We start from the raw sequence: 26,602 nt of genomic DNA, 5'->3' as shown, positions 1-26,602 counted from the left end.
TGCTGTCAACTTGTCTATTTATGTTTAAGATTTAGAATGGCTGGATATAGGAATATGTATATTGTCAGTTGCACTAACTAATGCCAAAGTTTTCCATAGTGGTTTTTACCAGCAATATATGGGAGCTCATTTATGCATACCTTCTCCAATTAGCCAATCTGGTGGACAGTATGTTCATTTTCATGTATTTATTTGCCATTTGGGTTTTTCTTCTGTTAAGGGCTAATAAAAATATTTTGTTTTCCTAAGAGTTCTTTATATATTCTGGATATTAGTCCTGTGTCAGTTACAGGTTGGGTGACAATATATCTTCATTTGCCCAAGATATCCAGTACATGCCTGTGGTCCCAGGGTAATTAAAGGGGCCATTGAACAAAGGCACAGAACTTGCATTACCAGACTTCAAACTTATGGTAAACCTACAGTAATCAAGATGGTACACTATTGGTGTAAGAAGACACGTACATATCAATAGAACAGAATAGAGAATCCAGAAATAAACCAACATTTTAAACAGATTTCTACAAAGGTGCCAATTAAATGAGGAAAACAAACACTCTTTTCAACAAATGGCATTGGATCAAATGAATTAAAAAACCCTAACACCTCAAAGTCATATACAAAAACAACTCAAAATACAGTATAGATCTAAATGTGAGATAACTTGATATTAGAAAAAGGAGATATGAACTAGGTTTGCCCACTGACAGGTCTCTATTTTACTTTTTATATTCCCTTGGGGAAAGGGAGGTAACAGAGCTACACTAGTCCCCACGTTCTTGAATGTTTGTTAGTGAAGTTTTCTCATTAATAGTTAAGTCCATCAAAGCATTTTTAAAAATTTCCTTCAGCAGGATACAGACTGGGCTCTGGTCCATGTAAATCTTAGTCTATGGAAGGAAGAACACATGATATATCATCTATCTATCTAGCTTGTTTCAACAACTAAGTATGCTGAGATTATGAGAACATACTGTTATTAGTCACTCTGGCTGCCATTTGATCTTTCTTTAGTTTTCGTCTTACTAGCTCCACTTTTCACTGAAGCCAGTTTCATAGGAGACACTTGATATTTTAATCAGTGTCCCCAAGCTGGAGTGCAGTAGCGTGATCATAGCTCACTGCAACCTTAAAGTCCTGGGCTCAAGCAATCTTGCCAGCTTAGCCTCCTGAGTAGCTAGGATTACAGGCACATGCCACCATGCCTGGCTAAGGCTATTTTTAAGATTTAGAAATAGAGGCTGGCCGCAGTAGCTCATGACTGTAATCCCAGCACTTTGGCAGGCCGAGGCGGGTGGATCACCAGGTCAGGAGTTCGAGACCAGCCTGACCAACATGGTGAAACCCCCTCTCTACTAAAAATACAAAACAAATTAGCCAGGCGTGGTGGCTGGTGGCACGTGCCTGTAATCCCAGCTACTTGGGAGGCTCAGGCAGGAGAATCGCTTGAACCCAGGAGGCGGAGGTTGCAGTGAGCTGAGATCGCACCACTGCACTCCAGCCTGGGCGACAGAGCGAGACTCTGTCTCAAAAAAAAAAAAAAAGATCGAGACCATCCTGGCCAACATGGTGAAACCCTGTCTCTACTAAAAATACAAAAATTAGCTGGGCGTGGTGGCACGCACATGTAGTTCCAGCTACTTGGGCCACTGAGGCAGGAGAATTGCTTGAACCTGGGAGGCGGAGGTTGGAGTGAGCAGAGATCACACCACAGCACTCCAGCCTGGCAACAGCGACACTCTGTCCAAAAAAAAAAAAAAAAAAAAAAAAACCCCCAAAAAGATTTAGAAATTGAAAATATAGCATTTTATTGGAGAGTTTTTTCTAAGTAAAATTGAGATTGTGACTGTCTCTGGGTGGCACTTAGAACTGGCAATGTCTAGTTACTATACAGATAGTGGGGAAGATGTAAGAAACATTAAATATTAGATATGTTCTGTGATTCAAAGGATCACAGATTATTTTATTGCTAAATTCCAATTTTAATAATAGGGATGTCTAATAATAGGGAGTTTTAACCAACTACCCAGCTAACAACAATTAGAAAAGCTGAACAATATCCGCTTCAAGACTTAACAGAACCAAAACAGTATTAGCAGGCCAGAATCAAGAAGACAAGTTCTGAGGCAAGCTTGGCATTTGGGGCCATTTTCCCTTGGGAAATTGACAGAGTTGAATACCACTTTTAATGACTTTGTAGGACTATGGGGACAAATATTCCTATCTGCTTGGGTGAAATCCTCAGAGAATTTCAGCCTGAAAATAATGAACTAGCCCTTATGGGGATGGCAGGCTAGCTTCCTATATAATATTAATCCCTTCATAAATTGAATTAAGGTGTTTCTGGTTTATTAGTTCCCCTAGGTACCCGGCAAAAACAAAAGAAAATCTGTAAAGCATGGGCTGAACATGGTGGCTCATACCTGTAATCCAAGCTACTCAGGAGGCTGAGATGGAAGGATCATTGAAATGTAGGAGTTTGAGGCTATAGTGTCAAACCACTGCATTCCAGCCTGAGTGACAGACCCTGACTCAAAATAAATAAATAAATAAATAAAAATTCCTGTGAAGTAAACCACCACCTTAGGCCTAAACTGACTCATACAATTTCTTAAATATAATGTCTAAAACACAAACCCATGCCCGTAAGAAGACCACAGGAACAACAAGCAGCAGAAAAAAAGACCCACTATGCCATAGAAACAAGACCCACAAGAGCTCTAGATAATGGATTTATCAGATACAATACATAGCATTTAACACAGCATTGAAAACTATGCTATGTTAAACAGTGATAAGATTGGGAATTTCAGTGGATCAGGTGTAAAGTATAAAAAGAGACATGGCTGACTTAAGGAGTGAACGGAGAGGCAAAAGAAGAGAGAAGGGAGAGGACAGAGAAATTAGGAGTAAGAAGGTCTAATTATGTTTAACTGGACTCTCAGAAGGAAAGTACTAAGAATAGGGGAAGAAGGAACATTTAAAGAGATAATGAGAACTTCAAAAAAACCTGATGAAAACCAACAAGTCACAAAGTTAAAAGCTCAACAAATCCAAAGTGGGATGTATTAGAAGAATAAAAAACATACATTATGTGAACACCATAACAATGTTGACATAATGCTATTATTCATCAGAAAAAAAATAGGCTTTTAACAAAAAATCTTATTAAAGATTGACATTTCTAAAAAGCTGAAAGCTCAATTTACCAATAAGATACAGGCTCCAAATGTGTATAAACTTATTAATATGGAATCAAAACATATAAAGAAATAAATTCATAATTCAAGGAGAAATACACAATCTATTATAATCGTGTGTGATTTCAGTACATTCTTCTCAGTAAATAACAAAATAGCCACAAAAGATTCAAACAGTATGCCCAAGAATTGTCAAAAGAACAGACATTGTTTTCAGGGACATAAGGAGAAAAATTATATATATGTAAAATATTTATATTCAGCTGGGCACAGTGGCTCACACCTGTAATTCTAGCACTTTAGGAGGCCGAGGCGGGTGGATCACCTGAAGGTCAGGAGTTTGAGACCAGCCTGGCCAACATGGCGAAACCCCATCTCTACTAAAAATACAAAAAATTAGCCAGGCATGGTGGAGGGCGCCTGTAATCCCAGCTACTCAGGAGGCTGAGGCAGGAGAATTGCTTGAACCCAGAAGGCAGAGGTTGCAGTGAGCTGAGATCACACCATTGCACTCCAGCCTGGGCAACAAGAGCAAAACGTCATCTCAAAAAAAAAAAAAAAACCAAAAACCAAAAATTCAAAAAACATTTACTTATGTCTCTGAAAGCACCGTGTGCTCATTTGACACTATGTTTCATTGGCAAAATATAATAATAATCTATATGTTTATAAACTGGCCATAAGTTGAGTCACAGAGCAAGCCTCAACCAATTGCAAAGGATTAAAATTATAGAGTATCTGACTACAATTCAACAACGGTAGAAGTTGATAATAAAAGGATATTAGAAAACCACCATATTTGGAAATTTTTAGAAAGTACATGTAAATAACTCATGGTCTTAAAAAAGAAGTACAATGGAAATTAAATATACATTTAACTTAATGACATTTAGTCACCTCAAAACCTGTGAGAATGGAGGCTAAATTATGCTCGGAGTAAATCTGTAACAATATATTAGGAAAGAAAAAATCACCACACCAAGTTTAAAAGAATATGACCCTCCGCCCACCCCAAGGAAATGGCACAAAATAATGAACTAACACTGTAGAAAGCACTAAAGTGAGGAGCTGGTCTTTGAAAGAAAAAAAAAAAACAGCTAACAAAATTGATGTAAAGAAAAAAAAAAAAACAAAACCTGCCAAGGAAAATCAGGGGAAAAAAGTGTATGGCAGAGGTGGGGGGAAAGAAGTATGAATTCAAGGGGGAAAAATGAAATATCTATAATTAAAAAGGAACACCAATAGAAGCTGCAGACATTAAAACAATTAAGTGATATTTTCAACAATTTTACTTTAACCGAATTGAAAATTTAGATGAATTCCTTGAAAATAACTCACCAAAATGGAAACAAGGAGTAAAAAACTGAAATAATCCTGTATCTGTGAAACATAATCTGTAATTAAAAGCATTTGCAAAAGAACTCCAGGCCCAAATGGTTTCACCAGTAAATTTCACCAAGCATAAATCACTATTCCAGGAATACAAGTTTCATTTAATTTAACATTGTGAACAAAGTTTCTGTAATTCGTGTACCACATTAAAGGAGAAAAATCAGCATCATCTCAATGAATGAAGGAAAAAACTACTTGAGAAACAAAACCTATTCATGATTAAAAAACTCACAGCAAACAGTAACATCCTTAATCTGATCAGAGATATCTATAGAAAATATACAGCAAACTTAAAGGGTGAAATGTCAAAAGCTTTCGCTGTGAGAGAAGAAAGCAAGATGTTGCCTTTTCTTTGCAGTACTATACTGGGTGTGTGTCCTAGCCAGTGCAGCAAAGCAAGAAATATAAATATATAATGATTAGAAAGGGAGAAGTAAAATTGTCATTATTCCCAAGTTATGATGTTCACAACAAAAAAAATTGGAATTGTTAGAATAAGTTTAGTAATTTCAACGTATAAAAATCAAGTATTTTTATATGCTGAGAAATAGAAAATCTAATTTTATGATAGTATTAAAAATAACATATACCTTGGAATCAAAGTTATGAAAATGCGCAAGGTCTTCAAAAGCAATAAAACAGAAACTAAACGCCTGCATAAATGGAAGGATATGCCACACTCATGGACACAAGACTCAATATTTCAATGGTGTTCATTTTCCCCAAATGATCTATATATTCACTGCCAAATCAAAAGCTCAACAGGGTTTTTTTTTTGTTTTTTGGTGAAACTTAACCTGATTCTACAATTTGTATGAAAAAGCAAGGCAAATTAAGGAACAATGGAGGGACAGATGGACTTACTCTACCATATTTTCTGAATTATCTTAAAGCTATATATTAAGTCAACATACACAGAGCTCTGTGGAATATAACAGAGGGTCTAGAAATAGATGCATATATGGACATATGATTTACTACAAAAGGGATACTGAAGAGCTGTAGGAAATGAACTGTCTTTTCAATAAATGGTGCTGGGTCACTTAGATATACATATGCCAATAAAACCCCTTAAAAGAAAAACAATTCACATTGTGCTCAACAAATGAATTATAGGTGGACTGCAAAGCTAAGTATAAAAAGTAGAACAATACATTTTCTGGAAAACACAGCAGACTATCATCATGGCTTCAAGTGAGGAAAAGATTTTGTATAGGTATACAAGAGATGGAAATAGACTATATTAAAATTATTAATTCCTAGGCAATTTGCAACACAAATGAAGGCCTTATATACAAGACAAAGAATTCCTATTAACATAATAAATTTTTAAAAAACCAGGAGAAATGTATTAGAACCAACACCTTATAAAAGGGAGATTTCTAAATGGCCAGCCTTATTAACCTAGAAATATCAAACTAAACATCATGACAAATCATTATTCACCCACCAGAGAGGCAAAATTAAAAAGATGACAGGGGTTGACTGGGATATGGAAGTAACCATCAATTCCACTTTTAGAAATACATGCATATAAGCACCAAGGGAGATGTAAGAGTATTCCTCTAACATTGTTGGTAATATCCTCAAACTGGAAACAATGTAAATACCCTTTAGCAACAGAATGGATATGTGTGAGAGCCAGCTACAGACATACACAAGGAATACTATATATAGCAATGAAACAAAAAAAACGTGTAGCTGCAAGCAACAACCTCGATGCATTTCACAAATAGTGGGCAAAAGAAGACAGATAAAAATCATACATACTCTATTATTCCATTTCTATAGTTCAAATAGATGCATCTCAACATGTTTAGAGAGAAATACTGAATTGGTAAAACCATAAATCAAAGCACCAATAAAGACCAATATAATGATTACCTTTTGGAGAGGGAAGTGGGACAGGATAGTGACCACAAGGGGTCATGAGGAAGCTTCTGGAGTACTGGCACTGTTCTGTTCTCTTGACCTGTGTCACGGATACAAAATTGCTCACTTTGCAGTTAATTCACTAAGGTGACCCCTGAACAATGACTGCCAATCAAAAATTCACATAAAACTTTTGAGTCCCCCAAAACATAACCAGTAATAGGCTATAAAACAGTGATAAGTGTCACACATGGTGTTTTAAGTGGATACTAGCAACACTTGAGCTCATAGTAGCAACAGATGGCTATATTATAGAACAGTATTTTATGCAGTTATGATTTAATATGGCTTTACATTGGTTTACATTTCTCAACTGTGAATGGCGCCATGTAGTGAGCTTAAGTTTTCATAAATTTTAACATATGATAGACTTGTATATATTTTATGGTAGTAAATGATAAAAGAATAGTACCTAGGCCAGGTGCAGTGGCTCACCTGTAATCCCAGCACTTTGGGAGTTCGTGACAAGTGGATCACTTGAAGCCAGGAGTTCGAGATGAGCATGGACAACGTGGTGAAACCCCATCTCTACTAAATATACAAAAATTAGCCAGAGATGGTGGTGGGCACCTGTAGTCCCAGCTGCCTGGGAGGCTGAGGCATGAGAATCGCTTGAACCCAGGAGGTGGAGGTTGCAGTGAGCCAAGATCATGTCACTGCACTCCAGCCTGAGTGATGGAGCAAGACTGTCTCAAATCAACAGCAAAAAAGTAGTTATCTATATACTTTGTGCATTAATCACATAGCTTTTTCTTAACTTTTAAAATATTTCTAGGCTATGCGGTTCATTTGCAAGCTTTTTTCAAATTGTTGTAAATCTCCAAAAATGTTTCAATACATTAATTATATAGGTTTTTTGAGACAGCATCTCACGCCGTTGCCCAGGCTGCAGTGCAGTGGCACGATCTCGGCTCACTGCAACCTCCGCCTCCCAGGTTCAAGCTATTCTCCAGCCTCAGCTTCCAGAGTAGCTGGACTACAGGAGCCTGCCACCACGCCCAGCTAATTTTTCTAATTTTAGTAGAGATGGGGTTATACCATGTTGGCCAGGCTGGTCTCGAACTCCTGACCTCAAATGATCTGCCCACCTCGGCCTCCCAAAGTGCTGGGATTACAGGCGTGAGCCACCATGCCTGGCCAAAATTTTTCAATACATTTATTGAAAAAAAATCCATGTGTGCAACTCATGTTGTTCAAGGGTCAACTGTACATTTTTGTGTTCTCTTGTGTTACATTTCACAATAAAAATAAGACATGACATTTCATTACTGTTTTTGGTCTGTCTCAATTTCCTACTATTTCCATGGCAGACAGCTGTTGAGCTCAACATTACTCCACCTATCTCGATTAAGGACTATGGGCAACATGGCAAAACCAGCATTAAGCAGCAGCAGCTACAGCAAGATGAAAAGAGTTCTGGAGACTGGTAGCACAACAATGTAAATGTACTTCACTATTGAACTGTATACTTCAAAATGGTTAAGTTGGTAAATTTTATTTAATATGTATTTTACAACTCATTTTTTAAAAACGAGAAACAGCTCCAAATTTCATGATCTTACACCCCCTTGGCTATGGAAACTCAATACAGGATGCTTTTATACTATTTTAGTCCTCTGGTCACTTGGTCATGGCCTAGAATGCAAATGAATTAAAACTCCACAACTATAAACTCAAGTAGGTTACAATGTAAGTCTTGAAAGGGAATTTTCTTTGGAGTTGCTGCCTCACTGCCTTATTTATACTACAGAGCACTACAGCCTAAAAGCTGTTTTATAGTCTAAAACTTCAAGGCCACGATCTTTAAGTTCCTTTGGTGTACAATGTTAGTGATCACACATGAAATGAATTAAGAGATCTAAAGAATATTTTAAGTCAATTATCCTATATTCCAATGTATTCAAACTACTATTTCACTTTTGTGCTACAATACAAGTGCTCAAACAGTTACAATATGGTATTTTACTGACAAGATACACTGAACCAAAATGTTGTTTCCTGAGAAAGGTGAGGGGTCTTTCCTTTGGGATTTTTCTAATGAGAAAATTCTATACTGAGACTTGACATTTCATTACCAGAACTTCATGGATGGTTTTGTTAGGTCCCTATCCTTATTAAACAGAGATAAAATTCCTAGTTGGCTAGGTGTTCCCCCTCCCCAAATCCCTTCCAAAAACAAAACAAAAAACAAAAAACAAAAACAAAAACAAAAACAAAAAAACCTGAGATTTTCATTCCAGGGTAAAAGAAGGCCAAATAAAATAGCTTGGTCTAAGATGAAATAATCTAACGTATTTTTTTCCACACATTTTCTTTAAAACCTTTGTGAAAGTCAACAAGGAAGAAGGAGGTATGTGTTCAGTACCAATTCCTTTCAAAACCAAAAGATTTGTAAAAAACAACACTTAACACAAAATTTGAATTAACTTTATTTCCCCTACAGTCAACAACTTCTCTGCATTGAATTTTAAAGCAACAAAGTAAAATAAAATCCCCCAAATGACAAGGTATCAGAAATCCAGACTTCGTTACACTCTATTTGTGAAAATGTTCAGCCATTTTATTGTTCTGTAAAGGAACCATCATCTGGGTCAAAAATGAATTCTATAAATCAAAGAATATTCTACACCTTGGAAAAGAAAATCAGCAGTAACATTCTCACTGAATATTGTAAATTACATTTTTCTTCATAAAAGGTACATACTATTCTGCACTTTTCCACCAAAAGCAGTGGTGTGTTATGCTTGTTATATAAAAAAAAGTTATATCCTGTGGCAGGAAAAACCCTTTCTCTTTCACTTTTACTAAACAACTGGAGAAAATGTTCAAGTCTGTATAAAGTTGCCTATAAGCTGGAAAGTGAACTTGTTCAATCTCCATTTACATTTTAGTGCATTTTTTGACAACTGTCACATTTTTAACAAAAGTAAGAAAATGCATATAGCACTAAAGAGTGTTTCATCAAATGCTTAAGGGATTAAAAAATATGGAGCAGAGAACAAAATCATTGTGAATGGATGAACTGTTGTAAAATGAAAAAAGTCCAGGCAAAGTTGTTACAAGTCTTTTGTCACTTTGATGAGTCACAGAAAATGAACTTTGGATACCTGTCCACTTTAAGGGTTTTTTCCTTAATCTTTTGCATGTAAACATAGTGCTAACTTCAGTACTAAGATACCAAAACTCCGTCCTGGTAAGCAACATCCTGTGTAGTTGCCATGATTTCCAAAAAATATAAATTTAGCCCTTGAATGAATGATGTATGAAATCTGCTCTGTAAGTACCTGGTGAAAACGACTGCTAACAGCAGTAATAATGTGTCAACATAAAAAAACTACTTGAATCAATTAGCTACTCAGAGGTCCATCTTTGAAACAGCAGCTTCTTCTCAGAGCAAACAGTAAGCAACAGAAAATATACATTTGATGAAACATTCTTTGCATTAGAGAAACATGAAAATAAATATAATTCAAGGAAGTATAATGATTCTTCTAATATGTCTTTCTCAGACCTGTACTAGTTTACCGGTTCAAGAAGCTCTCATCACATTTTGTCACTTGTATTTTACATATTGCTATTCGGGTAATTCAAATAAAATGCAGGTCTTGTAAAAGAATAAAAACATTGACAAGTATGCATGTGCCAGGGACCAAATTAGAGGGTTCTTTGGTGCAGTTAGTCCAAATTCTCAGATTTGAAGGATAATATGTACCAATAAAAAAAAAATCTGCTGCTAGACATTTACAGCAGTGCTCTGTCTTGCTTCACATTAGAAATCGAAAACAGCTGTTCTCAACAAGCCAATTTTATTTTTTTAATCAGGCATTGCCAGAAAATTTTGTACATTAACCTGGACCAGTGATGGTTCTGTACCCTCTTTGCTGTGAAACACGACATGAGCTAAAGGCAAAGACCGGTTCTCACAAGGACAACTGCTTCAAGTTAGGAACCAGAACAGTGCATTTAAACAGTCTTCTTAGATATTTTCTTGCCTTTCTTAAAAACCAGCTTATTTTTAATGTAGCCACGCTTCCTTTTGGTAGTCTATAAAAAAACAAAACACATAGTATTAATGCAGGTTTCTTACTGATTAAAAAATCTATAAACACACACATGGTTTACTGAACTATGATGACTTAGTAAGCTCTCTGCTCTTCTTGTGACTGGATTCCTTGAATAGTTCAGTGAACACCACTAAACTGTTAGTGGTGTTTCTTACCTGAGTACACTAACACATTCAAAGTGAAAGGACTAGGTTCCTAGACATCCTCACCATCAAGTGAATGAATCTTCAGCCCTCTTCTCAACCACAAAGTGCTGAGCTGTAATTATTAAAATTTCCAGGCAAGACAGAATATGTAACACTAGACTAAGGAATCAGAAATGGTAATGCTGCTCCTGATTTAGCCTCCAGGAAATTAGGTGTGTGCCAGAAAAACACGTTAACTTAGTAACTCTTAGAGTCCCTGTTTTCTGTAAAATGAGGATGACTGTAACCATCTACAAAAATGAGAGATATAATCACTTGGCACATTCTCTAAAAATAATCCTTTAGGTAGGAAAATAAGCAATTGAAAATGTAAAGCAAAACAATATTCCTTCAGTTTCATACATCTTTTAAAAATAAAATATTTTTCTTAACAATTCAGTATCCCACTAAAATACTTTCAATAGACGTTTCCTAGTATTAGAAACAAATTACCGGAAATGCAGTGGTACAAATTACTGCTAAAATATTTATGTTAGAACCCCACAGGATAAATTATAGGCACATATGTCTTTCAATCTGACACACAGCCCTAGATATTGAAGACAGCAAATATTTTTTGAAACTAAGTAATTTAATGCACCATCAAAGCTCTGGGTTAACAGAGGCAGAAGACTCAAGAGACTGACCACTCAATTCAATTTTCACATTTAAATACAACTCTCAGAGGTTTCAGAAACTGGGTAAATCCTGCATCATGTTCCTTTATCCATGATGTTCAATTCAAGATAATTTATAGTAGTTTCTAACAGGGATGAGAACACAAGGCAAAATGCAATCCTTCTTAAGGTACTAAAAATTAGCTACTGCTAACTTGTTAACCCCATTATATTACCTTATTGTTAAACTGATGTTATTAAGGCACAAAGTAAGAAACTTCAGAGGGTACAATTTTTAAAAATTCAAACCAGATCTAGTAGTTTCTTTATTATAATTACATCCAGATTCTAACAGGATACTTTTTCTATGAGATCTTATGATGTGCCCCAGGAATATCCAAGTGTGTAATAGCCCTCAGGGTGCTTTTCTCCTACTGGCAGTGAACCATGTGCCAAAAAGCCTTTTCTGCAGCCTGGACTACAATTTCTAGTGCCTTAGTCATGCCGGCTTTGCGATGGCTGGTAAACTCTCAGAATGGATGCTGTTATGTATACCCTCCTCCTCCAAAGTCAAAACCAGGATAGAGAAAGGGAAGTATAAAAAGCATTCCTTCATAGTGTTAGTACAAAACATCTAAAGCCATGGAAACCAGAATGTCAAAATATGTTATTGGCCACCACAATATATGTTTTGGGCACACAAGACAGATTATGTTTTATTTATCCATTCACATTTATTTGGGGAAAATGATGGGAAGAGAAAAGGGGTCAAATGAAGAAAATTCACTGCCTTTGGGGTCTATATCATCAGACAACAAGTTCAACAGCCCTCTTTTTGCAGAAAAAGTACACCTTAGTTATACTTGGATATCTTAGGAGTAACTGCTTTGAGAATAGCAGCATTTGCTGCTCACCAGTTTCTCCTACCTCATGCCTGTGACAATCATCTGATTTTTTAATGTTATTTTACCTAAAGATAATGAGTTTCATATGACTAACACAATGAATGTCAGCTCTATGTGACATTTTTAAATACATTAGTCTAGACATGGTAATTTACATCTGGCACATATTCATATAAAAAGCTTCCATTTACATATCACACCGTTAATATTCAGCACTTTTATAGTACAAATTAAAATCATCTGTATTTTGAATATATTTGATGTATATTTTAAGTAACAAAGAGTTAAGACAGTTGTTTCAATGATATAAGATAGCTGATCTGAGCTATGTAAACCTAAGCATCCTTAAAAAATGAGATTCAAAGTCAGTCTAATAATAATCAGTATTATAAGGATAGTACCTTATAATGAACCTTAACATTTTATCTGACTGTTCATTACTTCCCATTTCCTACTGCTGGACAACCTATATAAATACTAATTTTTAGCCATCTTTTATAGCAAAAATTATAATCTATTTGGCTTAAGTGAGCAATAATGACCCCCAATGAAATACTTCATATCTTATATAATATTAGAAAAGAATTGCAGTAGTCTCATAATTCCTGCCTATAAGCTTTGTCACAATTACATTAAAAAATAATTATCTTAAGATAAATGATTTTTTTGGGCTTCAGAAGGACTCACCCAACCCAAACCTATTCTTTATTCAATGAATAATAGAGTAACATCATACTAAGAATGGAACATGAAGATGCAATATAAATTTGCTCTGCTCAAAAGATGAGAATTTAGCATTTTTACTTTCATACAGGTTTGGAAAGCGATGGCCACAGCTACATCTTACTTTACAAGTAAGTCTTACTAATGGCAATAGCACAAACCAAAGCCAGAAGGCCTCTGGAAAAATCTCAGCTTGGGATATCTGAAGTGCTCAGTTTGAAAGGAATGCTCCTAGCAGGCTAGGCTGATATTTACTTCGTATTAATATAGAAGCCATAGTCTTTATAAATCTGGCAGATGGAAATTTATTGCAATTTCCAGAAATTCTTTTTCATACAAACCAACACACCTTAAGTTACCCTTTAATGCCTTCACTTGGCACCCACCTTCTTTGACAAATACTTCTGTTTTGGGAAAATGTTGGTGACTCGAGGTTTGTGATCTAATGTCTCCCTGTTATCAGGTGCTTTTACTTTATATATCCTAACAAGCCAGTGTTCTGATGTAAAGGCTTCTTCCAAATGTTTGAATTTAATGTCCTTATTTCCAATCTCAGCATTACGTGTTCGGTCAAAACCTGGGGGTGTACGAAAATCCAGCTGCAAAAGTGACATTATTATTGGGTGTTAACCATATTGGAAAACATTCAGTGTTATAAGACAGTAAGTGTTATCATTACAGTAATACCTTCTCCCTTTAAACTAGGAAAACAATCAAGTAATCTATCTACCTTAATAGTTCTCATGTATTGCTAACTAGACAGGAAAAAATCAGGAAGAGAGAAACTAAGTACATCAGAGTAAGAATTTCACAAAATCCTTAGAGTAAATGAGCATTCTAAAGGCATTAAAAAAAAAAAAAAAACCCACCAAAACATAGAAATGAAATCTATCAAAGCCCTTTTTATAGGTATACAGACAGAACACACCCAAGGGGCTTCTTTTCTGTTTCAGGGCCTTGCACTATCTATCCTCTCTGCCTGGCGTGTTCTTCATTCAGCTCTTTTGCATGGCTAGCTCCTTTACCACCCCCTTCAGGGAAATATTTTCTTGAGATTAGTGACTGACAAATCTCCTTTATTGTTTCCTCATAGCATCTTGTTCTTTTACCCCATAACATATATTATTAACATCTTTACTTAACGCTAAAAATTACCTGTATCTTCGATTGGGATGTAAACATGTCTTTGTCTTATTCAAAGTGTAGCTTTATATCCCAATTATTATTTGTTAAATAAATGCACAAGTAAGAGATACTACATTCTGAAAGTGGGAACTACAAAGGAGGCCAAATAAAAAAACCAAACCGTGAAAGGATTTATGAGGGATAAAAAGGGAAAACATAGGGAGAGAAGGAGACTTTAAGAAATTCTCAGACCGTCCTGATGTGGTGGCTCACACCTATAATCCCAGTACTTTGGGAGGCTGAGGCAGGAGGATGGCCTGAGCCCAGGAGTTCAAGACCAGCCTGGGCAACATAGCAAGATCTTGTCTCTACAAAAAATACAAAAATTAACTGGACGTGGTGGTATGTGCCTGTAGTCCCAGCTACTCAGGAGGCTGAGGTGGGAGGATCAACTGAGCCCAGGAGGTCAACACTGCAGTGAACCATGATTGCACCACTGTACTCCAGTATGGGCCACAGAGTGAGATCCTGTCTCGGGGAAAAAAAAAATGCTCAGACTAAGTTTATGTTGACATACAAATCTAGCATAAGTAAATTCAACTTTTTTTTCCATTTTTTTTTTTTAAACAGAGACTGGGTTTCGCCATCTTGGCCAGGCTAGTCTCGAACTCCTGGGCTGAAGCAATCCTCCCACCTAACCTCCCAAAGTTCTGGGATTACAGGTGTGAGCCACCAGGCCTGGCCAAACTCAACTTTAAAACAAACATGAAAACCAGCTCTCCTTCAAATAGTGAATTACTTGTTCTTGCTTATCTATATGATAGCAAAAGTTACACTTCATATTTTAACCATATATTATTCTTGAGTAAGGTAGGCATCAAAATGAATGTATGCTGGGAACATGGCTTAAAACTATTGATAAACTTAAAAGAGAGGAAGAAAAAGGTCCTTCAACGTGATCAGTAGTGAGCAGAGAAACTAATCAGAAACAAGCCAATCAGAAAATATGTTTTCTGGGGTAACTGATTATTATGGCCAGTGTGCTTCTTTCTTAGCAAGCGTTTAAAGACCAAGTGTGGCCTTCAAAAGAAATTATAAACACAAACAAAAACCTAAATCTAGATTATCACCTGCTGTTTTTTAAGTCATCTACAGAGTAATTCCAAGTGAATAATGATAAAATATGATTCACTTGGAATTACTTGAAGCAACACAACAAACAGGAACACAGTATATGCTAACTATTCTGAAACCAAGTGAATATTCTAGTCCATATTAGCCACAAAGATGGTGTTTTAGAAAAGGATAAAACTTGGGGCTGGGCGCGGTGGCTCATGCCTGTAATCCCAGCACTTTGGGAGGCCAAGGCAGGGGGATCACGAGGTCAGATCGAGACCATCCTGGCTAATATAGTGAAACCCCATCTCCACTAAAAATACAAACAATTAGCCAGGTGTGGTGGCAGCCGCCTGCAGTCTCAGCTACTCGGGAGGCTGAGGCAGGAGAATGGCATGAACCTGGGAGGCGAAGCTTGCAGTGAGCCGAGATCACACCACTGTACTCCAGCCTGGGCGACAGAGCGAGACTCCCTCTCAAAAAAAAAACAAAAAAAACACCACAAAAAAACACGGTAAAACTTGATTCACAAATTGAGGTCCAAACACACCCCTTTAGTTTTGATAGTTATCTTGATCCCCAGTGATAGTATAAAATTAAGCAAGCAATTTTTCCTCTGCTTTCTTACCAACTTAACCAGAGAGCAATACAGAAATAAGCAGTTTTCAGTGAAACTAATAGTATGAAGATAAAAATTTGGGACAGACACTTATAACAAAGGACAGATTAACAAGAGCAAAACAAATTTATTAAGACGTTCGGCGCACATTATGCAGGAGAAACCTCAATGAAAAGGAACTCAAAGCAGTGGCTTAGAACTCTGGCTTTTATAGCATGCTTAACAAAGAACAATACATTTGTGGAGAAAGGACAAAGGATAGTGGTCTTAGGCCTTCAAGATGGGAAAGTAGAAGGGTACATATATGGGAGAAACTAGTAGAAGGGTACATATATGGGAGAAACTAATGGAGTAAATTTTGTTTGCAGATTCCTCTGGTGCTTTCTCTGGGCTGATAAGAGTCTTAGAGTTGTCTCCAGTAAAGGAGAATTTATATTCTGCCTTTAGGCAGAAAAGAGGTTAGATAGAACTTTTTCTCTGTTTGCTGCTTCTAAATTGCCTTCAGCTCAAAATTAACTTTCATGTCAAAGAGGCATATTTTGGGGTGACATATTCTGGTTTCCTTAAAAATCAAGTCATCAATCCAAGCCCCATTATTTACAAACAAGAAAAGAACCAAGTGGAATCCAAGGCAGATACAAATTGTCTGAGAGTTACATGACTTGACAGAACCTGATCGAAAACACAGGTGTTATGACATCAAGTCCATTGTTTCTTCTTTCTGCCACAATGCCTCTTTGCACATTCACTCATTTTGTAGACCCTTAAGCTTTTGTACCACATCATTCTAATATACTAGAAAACTCTGACCCAGGCAGCTCTAGCTATTTGTGGTAACGGAGAATGGGGAGAGAGTGAACATCTGAAGTGACTATTTACTTCGAATCTTTAATTTTAAGCTTTTCTCCACCAAGCAGCAAAGTGACCTAAGACACCACACTGTTTCCTAGCTAGGAGAACTCTTCTTGGAGAACAATACTTTCCAAAAGCATGAGTTCTAATGGTGAGATGGCAAGCAAAGATTGGATTTGAGGCTACTGTTAATAAATATGTTAGAAAGAAGTCCTTGATCTAAAATTTTATTTTCTAATTTCTCACATATTAGTTTCAGAAATCTAAATTTAATGAAAAAAAGACTATTTAGATAAGCACATTTCTCTTCAGCACAATCAAAATATCATTATCCTGTTTTCTAGAGGCAAATAAGACTTGTTTTAAACATTATTTTGAATGAAAATTAGAGAAAAATGGATTTAACTAACCTGCATTTCTCCAAATCTGTAGTATGACATTTTATACATAAGGCAATTCAACAAAGTAGGGGATCCTGCTTTGTCTACACGGAATTCTCCCTGTGGGGTAAAATAGTCACTTTCCTACAAGAAAGAAACCACAAGTTCTATGTTAGTTCAAGTTAACATATTCAAAGCTACAGTTTCCTCTTTTCATTTCCCTGTAAGAATAAGCTTCTGAGGTATCTTTATAAAGCCATATTCAGTTACACCTCAAAAAAATTAATCCCACCAGACTTCGAACCATGTTATAAGGCCTTAATAATTATTATTTTTGAGACAATGTCTCGTTCTGTCCTCGAGGCTGGAGTGCAGTGGCGTGACTGTGGCTCACTGCAGCCTCAACCTCCTGGGCTCAAGCAATCCTCCCATTTCAGCCTCTCAAGTAGCTGGGACTACAGGCCCACGGCACCACGCCCAAATAATTTTTGCATTTTTTTGTAGAGACAGGGTTTCACCATGTTGTCCAGGCTGGTCTTGAACTACTGGGCTGAAGTGATTGGCCTCCCAAAATGCTAGGATTACAGACTTGAGCCACTGCACATAGCCACTTTCATAATTTAAAGAGACTGGTACCAACACCATGGCTTAATACCAGGTAAGGCTGGCTCTCTCAATTACCCATCCTCATCTCCGTTACTCCTTTTCAGAGTTTTCTTAAGTGTTCTAGCTAAATTTTTCCACATGAACTTTAAAATCGGCTTTATTTGGGGAGGACAATGTTAAAAAGACTCCTGTGGTAATTTTTATGGGGTTAACTTATAAATTAACCTCTATGAGGAACAATTTTGGCACTCTAGGTAAAAAATGTAATTTCTGAGTCAGAAATTCCTTTTCCAGGAATTAACGCTACAGAGATACTTGTATATGGCCAAAATAATGAATGCAGAAAGTTATTATGCCATTGTTTATAAAACTAAAATACTGGAAACAATCTAAATTCCATCAATGGTGACAGGTTAAATAAATCATGCACACACACAAAAAATGCAACGTACTGTGCAAATGTAAACAAAGGAATAAAGAAGTTCTCCATATTCTAACATGGAAAAATCACCAAGACATATTATGAAGTGAACAGGGTATATAACTTGCTAGAAGTTAAGAATCACAAGAAAATAACCAGTGATTACCAGGGACTCCACCGCCCGCCCGCCCCCCCATTTTTAACTGACACATAAATTTGTGTATATTTATGGTGTACACCATGTTTTGAAATATGCACTGTGAAATGGCTACATCGATCTAATTAACATATGCATCAATCATACTTATTTTGTTGTAGTGAGAACACTGAAATATCTACTCTCTTAGCAACTTACAAGTACACAATACATTGTTATTACCTATAGAGGAACTTTTTTTTTTTTAGGGGGGGTAGACTTTTTTGTATATCCTCTTATACTTTATTTTTGAATCACGTGAAGGGGGTAGACATTTATTGTATATCCTCTTATACTTTACTTTTGAACCATATGAGTGTATTATCTATTCACAAAGTTTAAAAATAATTTAAGATGCACAGAAATTTAGGACTTCTGTAATATTAATGTTCAAAGCATACATTTAGAAACAGTGATCTATCACATGTCACAGTTTTAACACTGACTGCTAAAGCAAATCCACAAATAAAAACCATACTGGGAGAATTAAATTTCAGAAGATTAATACAAAAAAATAATGTTTACTAATCACAGTTAAGGGAAACATTACAGCATTGACATTTGACCAGGAAATCTGAGGCTTTACTTCATCTGCATCACACGACACCTGCATACATTTTTCCCAAAAGATTCCTTTATTCTGGATCAGTGGCAATTACTCTTATCTTTTGTGCCTTCATCATGTAAAAGCACAATGCTGGATGTCCATCTTCTAAAAGCTCACAATTTAGTGAAAGAGGTAAGACACAATCTAATACAAAAAAGCAGTGGTTCCCAACCTTTTTGGCACCAGAGACCAGTTTCGTGGAAGACAATTTTTCCACGGATGGCGGAGGGCTGCTGGTTTCTAGATGAAACTGTTCCCCCTCAGATCAACAGGCATTAGTTAGATTCTCATAAGGAACATGCAACCTAGATCCCCTGCATGCGCAGTTCACGATAGGGTTTGTACTCCTATGAAAATCTAATGCTGCCGCTGGTCTGATAGGAGGCGGAGCTCAGGCGGCAATGATCGCTCACCTGCCCCTTACCTCCTGCTATGTGGCCTGGTTCCTAACAGGCCACGGACCAGTGCTGGTCCGCTGCCTGGGGTCTGGGGACTCCTGCAAAACAGGTATAAATAATTTGGTGATGAGTACAGATGTGAGTATACCAGAAAAGGGCTTTTGGAGAGGGGGCAAGTCTGTGGTAGGGAAGGTATTCCAGGAAAGAGAACAGTAAAAACACACGTGTCAGGTGAGTCAAGGAAAGAAAGCACAAGCAAGTTTCAGGGGCTAGAACATACTGGCAGAGTAGACAAAGGTGGCAGAAGAACAAGACACCAGCAAAGGAAGGCAAAACATAAAGAGGCTTACATTCCAAGCTAAAGAGTTTACACTTTATACTAATGTTTTATCAGAGGTTATCTATTTTGTACCAGTCCCTAGGCTGGGGCTTCAACTACTTTACTATAAATTCTCATTAAACGGCACTATAAATTAGTTATTTTTGGCAAAAGATAACCTAGTCGGCCTCGGTCACCATTTTAATTCCAGATCCTAGAACTAGACCTAGTGCTCAAAGCATATTATGTTGACTTGCTAAAATAACTTGCCCAAGTTGACAGTTTTAGTTTTAACTCATGTCTATATGGTTTTAAGACCCTTTCCCTTAATCTATTGAAGTCTTTTGAGCCTAAAAGTAACACGATCAATTTTATCTTACACTGGGAGGGAGGAAACAAGGCAAAGATAGCAATTTCAAGGTTACTATCCTATTTCAGGTTTACAAGCATAAGGGTAAGTACTAGAGTGGAAGCAATGGAAATGGAAAGAAAGGGATGACATGAGAGGCTGTGAAGAGACGTAAAAGTAAGAAGTCTTGGCAAGGGACTGCTTCATAGGGAAGAATGGTATATTAGTTCCATTTTGACTTCAAAAAGTTTTAATATAGGAAATGCCTCTACTATCTTTAATAAATAGTAAAGCCAGGGTAAGGAACTAATCTGAGGGATAGGATGATGAAACAAATACAATGCAATTAGCAAGATGAGAGAATTACGAGGACACAGTGAGCTATCTTTCACATACCTGGAATTATCTAGTTTCTTACCCGAATGTCTTTGGGATGTTCTCCTTCAGCTATCCTAACCATCCAGAGAAATTTGTTGATATCATCACCAGAATAGCCAATAACCCCTCCAAAAATAACCAAAACATAATCTACATCTAGAGTCCTCATGATTTTATAGGCTGCTGTTTCATTAGAAGACATAGCTTTTCCCACCTGCAGAATTTAAAAAAAAATGAGAATGTTTTTGATTATTCCCACATTCATAAAAATCAATGTATATTTTTTACTACAACATGGAATTCATCAAGAGTTTGTTTTACATGGAATTTTTTTGCAGAAATGATTTACTATGAATTCAACAAATGCATTGGAATTTATGAACCTCTCAACTACTATAACTAATTTACAGTCAAAAATCAGAATACATGCTCTAATATTTTGCTAATAATTAAGTTCTATAACATTAACATTTTATGATGAAAGCAGGCAAGCTTAGAAAAAACAACTTCTCACAACCGCAGGCCAGGGCTGGCCAGTGATCTTGCTAGCACATACATTTCTTCTCCCCAGTCTAGCATGCATCTGATAATTAGCTACAACAGTAATACAAATAGAATTCATTTGGTTAAGACTACTCTTTGTATTTAAAAATCTTTGAAGTACAAAGAGGGGATTACATTAATCTATGCAGATTAGTTGTTTAATAGCTAGAGGAACAGTTTGCCTATCCATAAAATACAGTGCATTTACTTTACATATTTGCAAATAATTTTTAGTTTATAACACGAAAAATACAAGCCAAACATTTTAAGTTTCAGATTTTGTCTAATTCTTCAGTAAGCTAAATTTATCATAAAATCTACCAGAAATCAGCCTGCAATTCTGAATGATACTTAGTATCATTCTTAAAAACAAAATAAGCACACCTTGAACTCACTTTATTGAACATATGTGTAAAAAAGTATTTTGAGAATTCAGCAGAGTACTTTTCACCCACATTTTTCCTATTTAGTCACAAGTGAAGCCTGATTGCTAAGGAGTGAATAAAGATTTTTTAACCTTGTATTTAGTAAATCCTTACCAGTGCTATGTGGCTGTTATTCCAGGTGTTATTATCCACCAACGTAGTTCTATTAGCCATTCCAGCTATCTGATAGCCATAATCCCACCAAGACATTACTCGTGCATGTTCATCTGTATTTTGCCTTAGCCAAAAGTAAGCTTCTCTAAAATCATCTAAGATATTCCTGGTGCTGAAAAGAATCACAATACTCTTTTAAATGAGATGTCACAAATGTGAAGAGGCTAACTTAAAATCTTGAGGTATTAAACCACTGAATACTTTCAGATTTTAAGGATGGTAGTTATTAAGTAAAAGCCTCTACCAATGAGAAAAAAAAAAGTGAAACAATGAAGAGCTAGACTGGTGTTATTCAAACTAATGTGTGTGTGCACAAACCACCTGCATATCTTGTATTTAAAAAAAAAAAAAAAAAGCCGATTCTGATTCAGTAGTTCTGGGGTAGGGCCTAATAGTGTACAAGCCTAATAAGCTCCCAAGTGAAAGAGTAGTTGAAAGCCATGGCAATACATAAATCAGCTGTTCTTACATTTTAGCTGCATCTGAATCACCTAGGTCTATTAAACCACAGACTGCTAGGCCCCAGCCCCAGGTTTCTAATTCTGTAACATTAGGGTGAGGTCAAGAATTTGCATTTCTAACAAGTTTCATGGTAATGATGATGCTGTGTGTACAAAGACCACACATTTGAGAAAAACTAATGTATATGATTATGCATGCAGAAATATTCTGGAAAAGAGCATGAAATACAATGATTACTACCCATGGCACCAAGGTGGAGGAGAGGACAAAGAAAGGTAGATTCAAATACAGAGCTTCACAGGAGCACAAGGCAGAGGCTGGCAGGGGCGGGGGAGAGTGCACGGGGATGGTTAACGGGTACGAACACCACAGTGTGATTACAGTCAAAAATAATTTAATTATACATTTAAAAATAACTAAGAGTGTAACTTGATCGTTTGTAACTGAAAGGATAAATAGTTGAGGGGATGGAAACCCCATTTTACACGTGATTATTACACATGCCTGTATCAAAAGACATAAATAGAATGTACCCCATAAAATTATGTATTTACTGTGTACCTACCAAAATTAAAATAAAAAATTAAAAACAAGCAAATGCAGAATCTCACAAACAACATTCTATTTTTTAATTATATCCTTTGAGACAACGAAAAAGAAGTGTAAGTATAAAATGTTTTTGTATCCGAGTTATTTTCTTACCCATCATGATTGTATGAGGCCAGGACTACACTTGGACTAGAGTAGGCATTGCTTGTGACCCAGGTACAGTGGACAGCAAACATCATCAATAGCATCAGCATCAACATGGTGACAATGCTTTTTATATTAGGGCCTAATCCCTCTTCAGTTTTTTCCTGTTCAGTTGCATGTTTCCTCACTTTACCTGCCTAAAGATATTAAAAAAATTGGTTAGACAAATTCATTATTTGACTTGCTTCATTAAGATACTCAATGGAAAAAGTTGAGAGACTGTTTATCTATCAATTTAATTCTATGACTCAGAAAATGTATAACCATCAGATATTCTTATGTGGGTGATGGAGTGTTTTCTAAGTCAAACGTGAATAAGGTTTCCTGGGAATATACCAATCCAGAAACTGGTCACAGAGCAAAATAATTATCTCCAGTAAGAAGCTGCTTTCAAACCCAGTTGTCCTTATACTTTAATTAAATACAAAGGAGATTAACCAAATGACCCCATTCTGGTGAAATCTTAATATGTAAATTCTTATAAAATCTGAATTCCACATCCTGAAAATGGCAATGCTCAGCTATAATTTTGACCATGTACCACTTTAGTATAGGAAAAAACTGCATTAACAGAATCAGTCTTCCGATTTCGAAACCCTAAAACCAACAGACTTGTTAAAACTACGATTACCTTAAAAAATCACCTTCCCCAACAGAAAAGGGAAGAGAGAATAGAAAAAGTCACAACTTCTAAATTTCAAGGCTGGTTAAGAAACCACAAAGCAACAAAAAAACCCCAACAATAACAACAAACACAAAAATCAGGAATGTGGGTTTATTAACACACATCTTTATGAATTACATTCATCTTATAGAAGGAAAGAATTTCAAAGTTATTACTGATACTGGGAAGTTTAATTTATTAGTATTTTAAAATCCAGGCAATATTCAAATAGCAAAGTTTAATATGTCATCCAAGACAAGTGCTCTAATTCTTACAAGTCCTTTTCACACTTGCACCAACTGAGAAACTATAGATTAAAAATAAATTACCTGTATTGGCCAGTTACCTATTGCTAACGAACTGGAGGGTTTTAAAAAAGGCATTTTGCTCCCTTCATTTTACTGTTCAACCAATCAAATGTCACTTCCAAAATATTTTGAAAGTATGCACTGAGTATGGACCTCAAGGATAAGCACCTGTCTGTCCACATGGTTTCAGAGGGGTTTACAGTGCCAAATGTTATGTAATTTAGTACAGCATAAAGTTTTTGCTCTCAAAAATGGAAGGGTATATTAACAAGGGTATATATCTTAAGTATTTAGATAACAAATTACCAAAAAGAGGAATTCCTTCTCTGATTACATTCTATTTTCTAACTCTGAGCTAAAGGACTGACCAGGATTCATATTTTGAGGCAAACAGTGGAGACCAACTAGAAAAGTCACAGTTTGTCCAAATCATCATTTAATAACATTTCTTGATATGTATAGTTCTTACTGTGGTGGAAAAATTAAGAAAGGACATAGACAATTTAAAGGCCTTACTTTAGATTCCCCACCTTATCATACAAATTTCCTTGGTTTCTTTTGTCATCCTCATCACTGCTGTCCTCCACAGGTGGATTTTCCCTTTTCATGTCATCCCCCAAATAGTGCTCAAAAACATTTGAAAAGGCAATTGCAGACAGCATACACACGACTGGAGTCAAAGTCAACATCAGTCGCACCATCACTCCAGCAAAGTAGACAGCACTGATTGCATATAGAGCAACTGCAAAGACAAATTCTCTTACAATATGTTGGAGGGAAAAAGTTCCCAGGAAACTGAACTAGATACTTAAAACTATAAAACCAACCTGGAATTATATAAATGTCTCACAAACGATCTAATTGTTTCTAAATTGATACTACTGAACAACTGATTAATTAGCCACATTTAGAAATTATAACTAGTGTTCACTAAATAAAACCTACACATCCACAGTTTAGAAAAATGTATATGATTCAAATTTAATTAGTTATGAAGAATTAGACTTAATTCACTATTTGTCAATAACATCATAAAAAACCCATAGCTGGCAGATAAAAACATATTTGTGCATGACATCTCCAGGCAAAATAAATTTATAGATTTAAAATCTATAAAAAGCCAGTGCCAATATCTGGCATAAAACCTGCTTTAAAACAAAAACGGGATGAGAAGAACGTAAGTTATTAATCAAAGGAGGAACCTGCAAAGTTACTGCCAAGAAACTTAAAAAAAATTTTTGAAACAAATTTCCAATAGCCAGAGCTTTCTGGATAATGTGCTAACCACAGGAAAAGACTCTAACTATTTCTGGCTGAAGGCTATGTATAACTTTACAAATTCAGTGAGTCATGTGAGCTCCTACCTTATCTGATGCTAATTAAATTTTTCTTCCTGACTAAAAAATACATCGCATCATATTCTTAAGTGTGTATCTCAATGAATTTGTATATATACACACCTGTGTAACTACAACCCATAATGATATAGAACATTTTTATATGTCCTCATGCCTCTTCTCAGTCAGTAACAACCCCCTCCCCTATCAAAAAAGGTAACCACTATTTAGACTTCTAAAGAATTAGTATTCCTTATTGTTGAACTTTACAGGAATGTAACCACATAAAAATGTTCTCTTTTGTATTGGCTTCTCTTATTTCCCCATCCTGTTCTTTAATGATTGTTGTGTTGTATTCCACTACAGATATACAAAAATTTATTCATGCTACTGCTGATGACTTTGGAATATTTACTATTAGGGGTTACTGTAGATAAAATTACTAATGCATTCTTAAACATGTCTTCTGGTAGACATATGCACTCACTTCTCTTAGATATATACATAGGAATGGGATTACTGAGTCATGAGGTTTAAGTTAAATCTTCTTGAATGATGCAGTATTAACAGGGCCTCATCCAGGATCCATTAACCTAGAGAACAATGAGTGTGCAATCCTTTAAACTGAACCCCTACAGGTGCTGTTCTTTCTTTCCTGATTCATGTGTCACTCATGGTCCAGATCCTATAATTGTACAAGTTTCTAGCACTACAAATTACTTACCAACTGGTGTGATCCTGTGCACGTGATAAAGTTTTTCTCAGTTTCAGTTTTTATCTCATACAAAACAACCACAGCATATTTCATGTGTGATTAAATCATGTAGAAGCCTTTGATATCTGCTTATTTTGTCCACTTATATTAGAAATATAGAACCCTAAATACTTGGCATTTAAATATTTTGTATTTCAAGTCTTATTAGTTGGAAATATACAAATCTGTCAATGAAGAGGATGTTTAGTGAAAGGTGATCCTTATTCCGCTATAAAATGGTCTTTGCTCTGAAATCTGGAAGATGAATGTCCCTAAAAACTTCTTCCTACTTAAATAAAATTTTACTCAGAAAACAAAGTCAAGGCTATTGTCAACAAAGTTAAAATTTTCAATTCTCAAACACAAACTACAACATTAACCTCTCAGAAACCATAATATACTAGTCCTAAATTAAAACAATCAAAATACTTAATACAAATTCAATGAATTTTTTTCTTTTTTTTTTTTTTTTTGAGACAGAGTCCCGCTCTGATTCCCAGGGTGGAGTGCAGTGGCTTGATCTTGACTCACTGCAACCTCCGCCTCCCAGGTTCAAGCAATTATCCTGCCTCAGCCTCCTGAGTAGCTGGGATTACAGGCATGCACCACCATGTTCGGCTAATTTTTGTATTTTTAGTAGAGACAAGGTTTCACCATGTTGGCCAGGCTGGTCTCGAACTCCTGACCTCAGGTGATCCGCCCGCCTCGGCCTCCCAAAGTGCTGGGATTACAGGCGTGTGCCACCATGCCCAGCCTCTCAGTGAATTTTTCTTGGTTAAGCACCTATGCAAAATAAAG

The 26,602-nt window shown here is 36.1% G+C and overlaps 1 protein-coding gene across 3 annotated transcripts in view, besides 1 other annotated feature; it reads right to left on the bottom strand.

Annotated features, from left to right (window-relative positions):
- Nucleotides 435-604: an enhancer, noted in NCBI's record as "experimental_69593 CRE fragment used in MPRA reporter constructs". NCBI's record gives its function as "activates a minimal promoter by MPRAs in K562 erythroleukemia cells, with activity observed for both the introgressed and non-introgressed 3:31687525 variant alleles {active_cell/tissue: K562}" and the evidence as "EXISTENCE:reporter gene assay evidence [ECO:0000049][PMID:34662402]".
- Nucleotides 8,936-26,602, bottom strand: part of STT3B (STT3 oligosaccharyltransferase complex catalytic subunit B) — a 104,692-nt gene continuing 87,025 nt past the window's right edge. For 2 of the 3 annotated variants that reach the window (NM_178862.3, XM_017005858.2), the window contains exons 10-16: nucleotides 24,244-24,455; nucleotides 22,691-22,878; nucleotides 21,467-21,638; nucleotides 20,425-20,598; nucleotides 17,141-17,254; nucleotides 13,405-13,617; nucleotides 8,936-10,568 (exon numbers count right to left, since the gene is read on the bottom strand). In NM_178862.3, coding sequence (NP_849193.1) covers nucleotides 10,488-10,568; nucleotides 13,405-13,617; nucleotides 17,141-17,254; nucleotides 20,425-20,598; nucleotides 21,467-21,638; nucleotides 22,691-22,878; nucleotides 24,244-24,455 — 1,154 coding nt within the window. In that variant the 3' untranslated portion in view covers nucleotides 8,936-10,487. Of the gene's footprint in view, nucleotides 10,569-13,404; nucleotides 13,618-17,140; nucleotides 17,255-20,424; nucleotides 20,599-21,466; nucleotides 21,639-22,690; nucleotides 22,879-24,243; nucleotides 24,456-24,668; nucleotides 26,588-26,602 lie in introns of those variants that run through there. The other variant, XM_011533465.2, reaches the window with a different exon arrangement.

Source organism: Homo sapiens, chromosome 3 (genome assembly GCF_000001405.40).
Source record: "Homo sapiens chromosome 3, GRCh38.p14 Primary Assembly".
NCBI classification, from domain to species: Eukaryota; Metazoa; Chordata; class Mammalia; order Primates; family Hominidae; genus Homo; species Homo sapiens.
The sequence above is the reverse complement of the archived record's forward strand: the minus strand, read 5'-3'. Positions and strand labels throughout refer to the sequence as shown.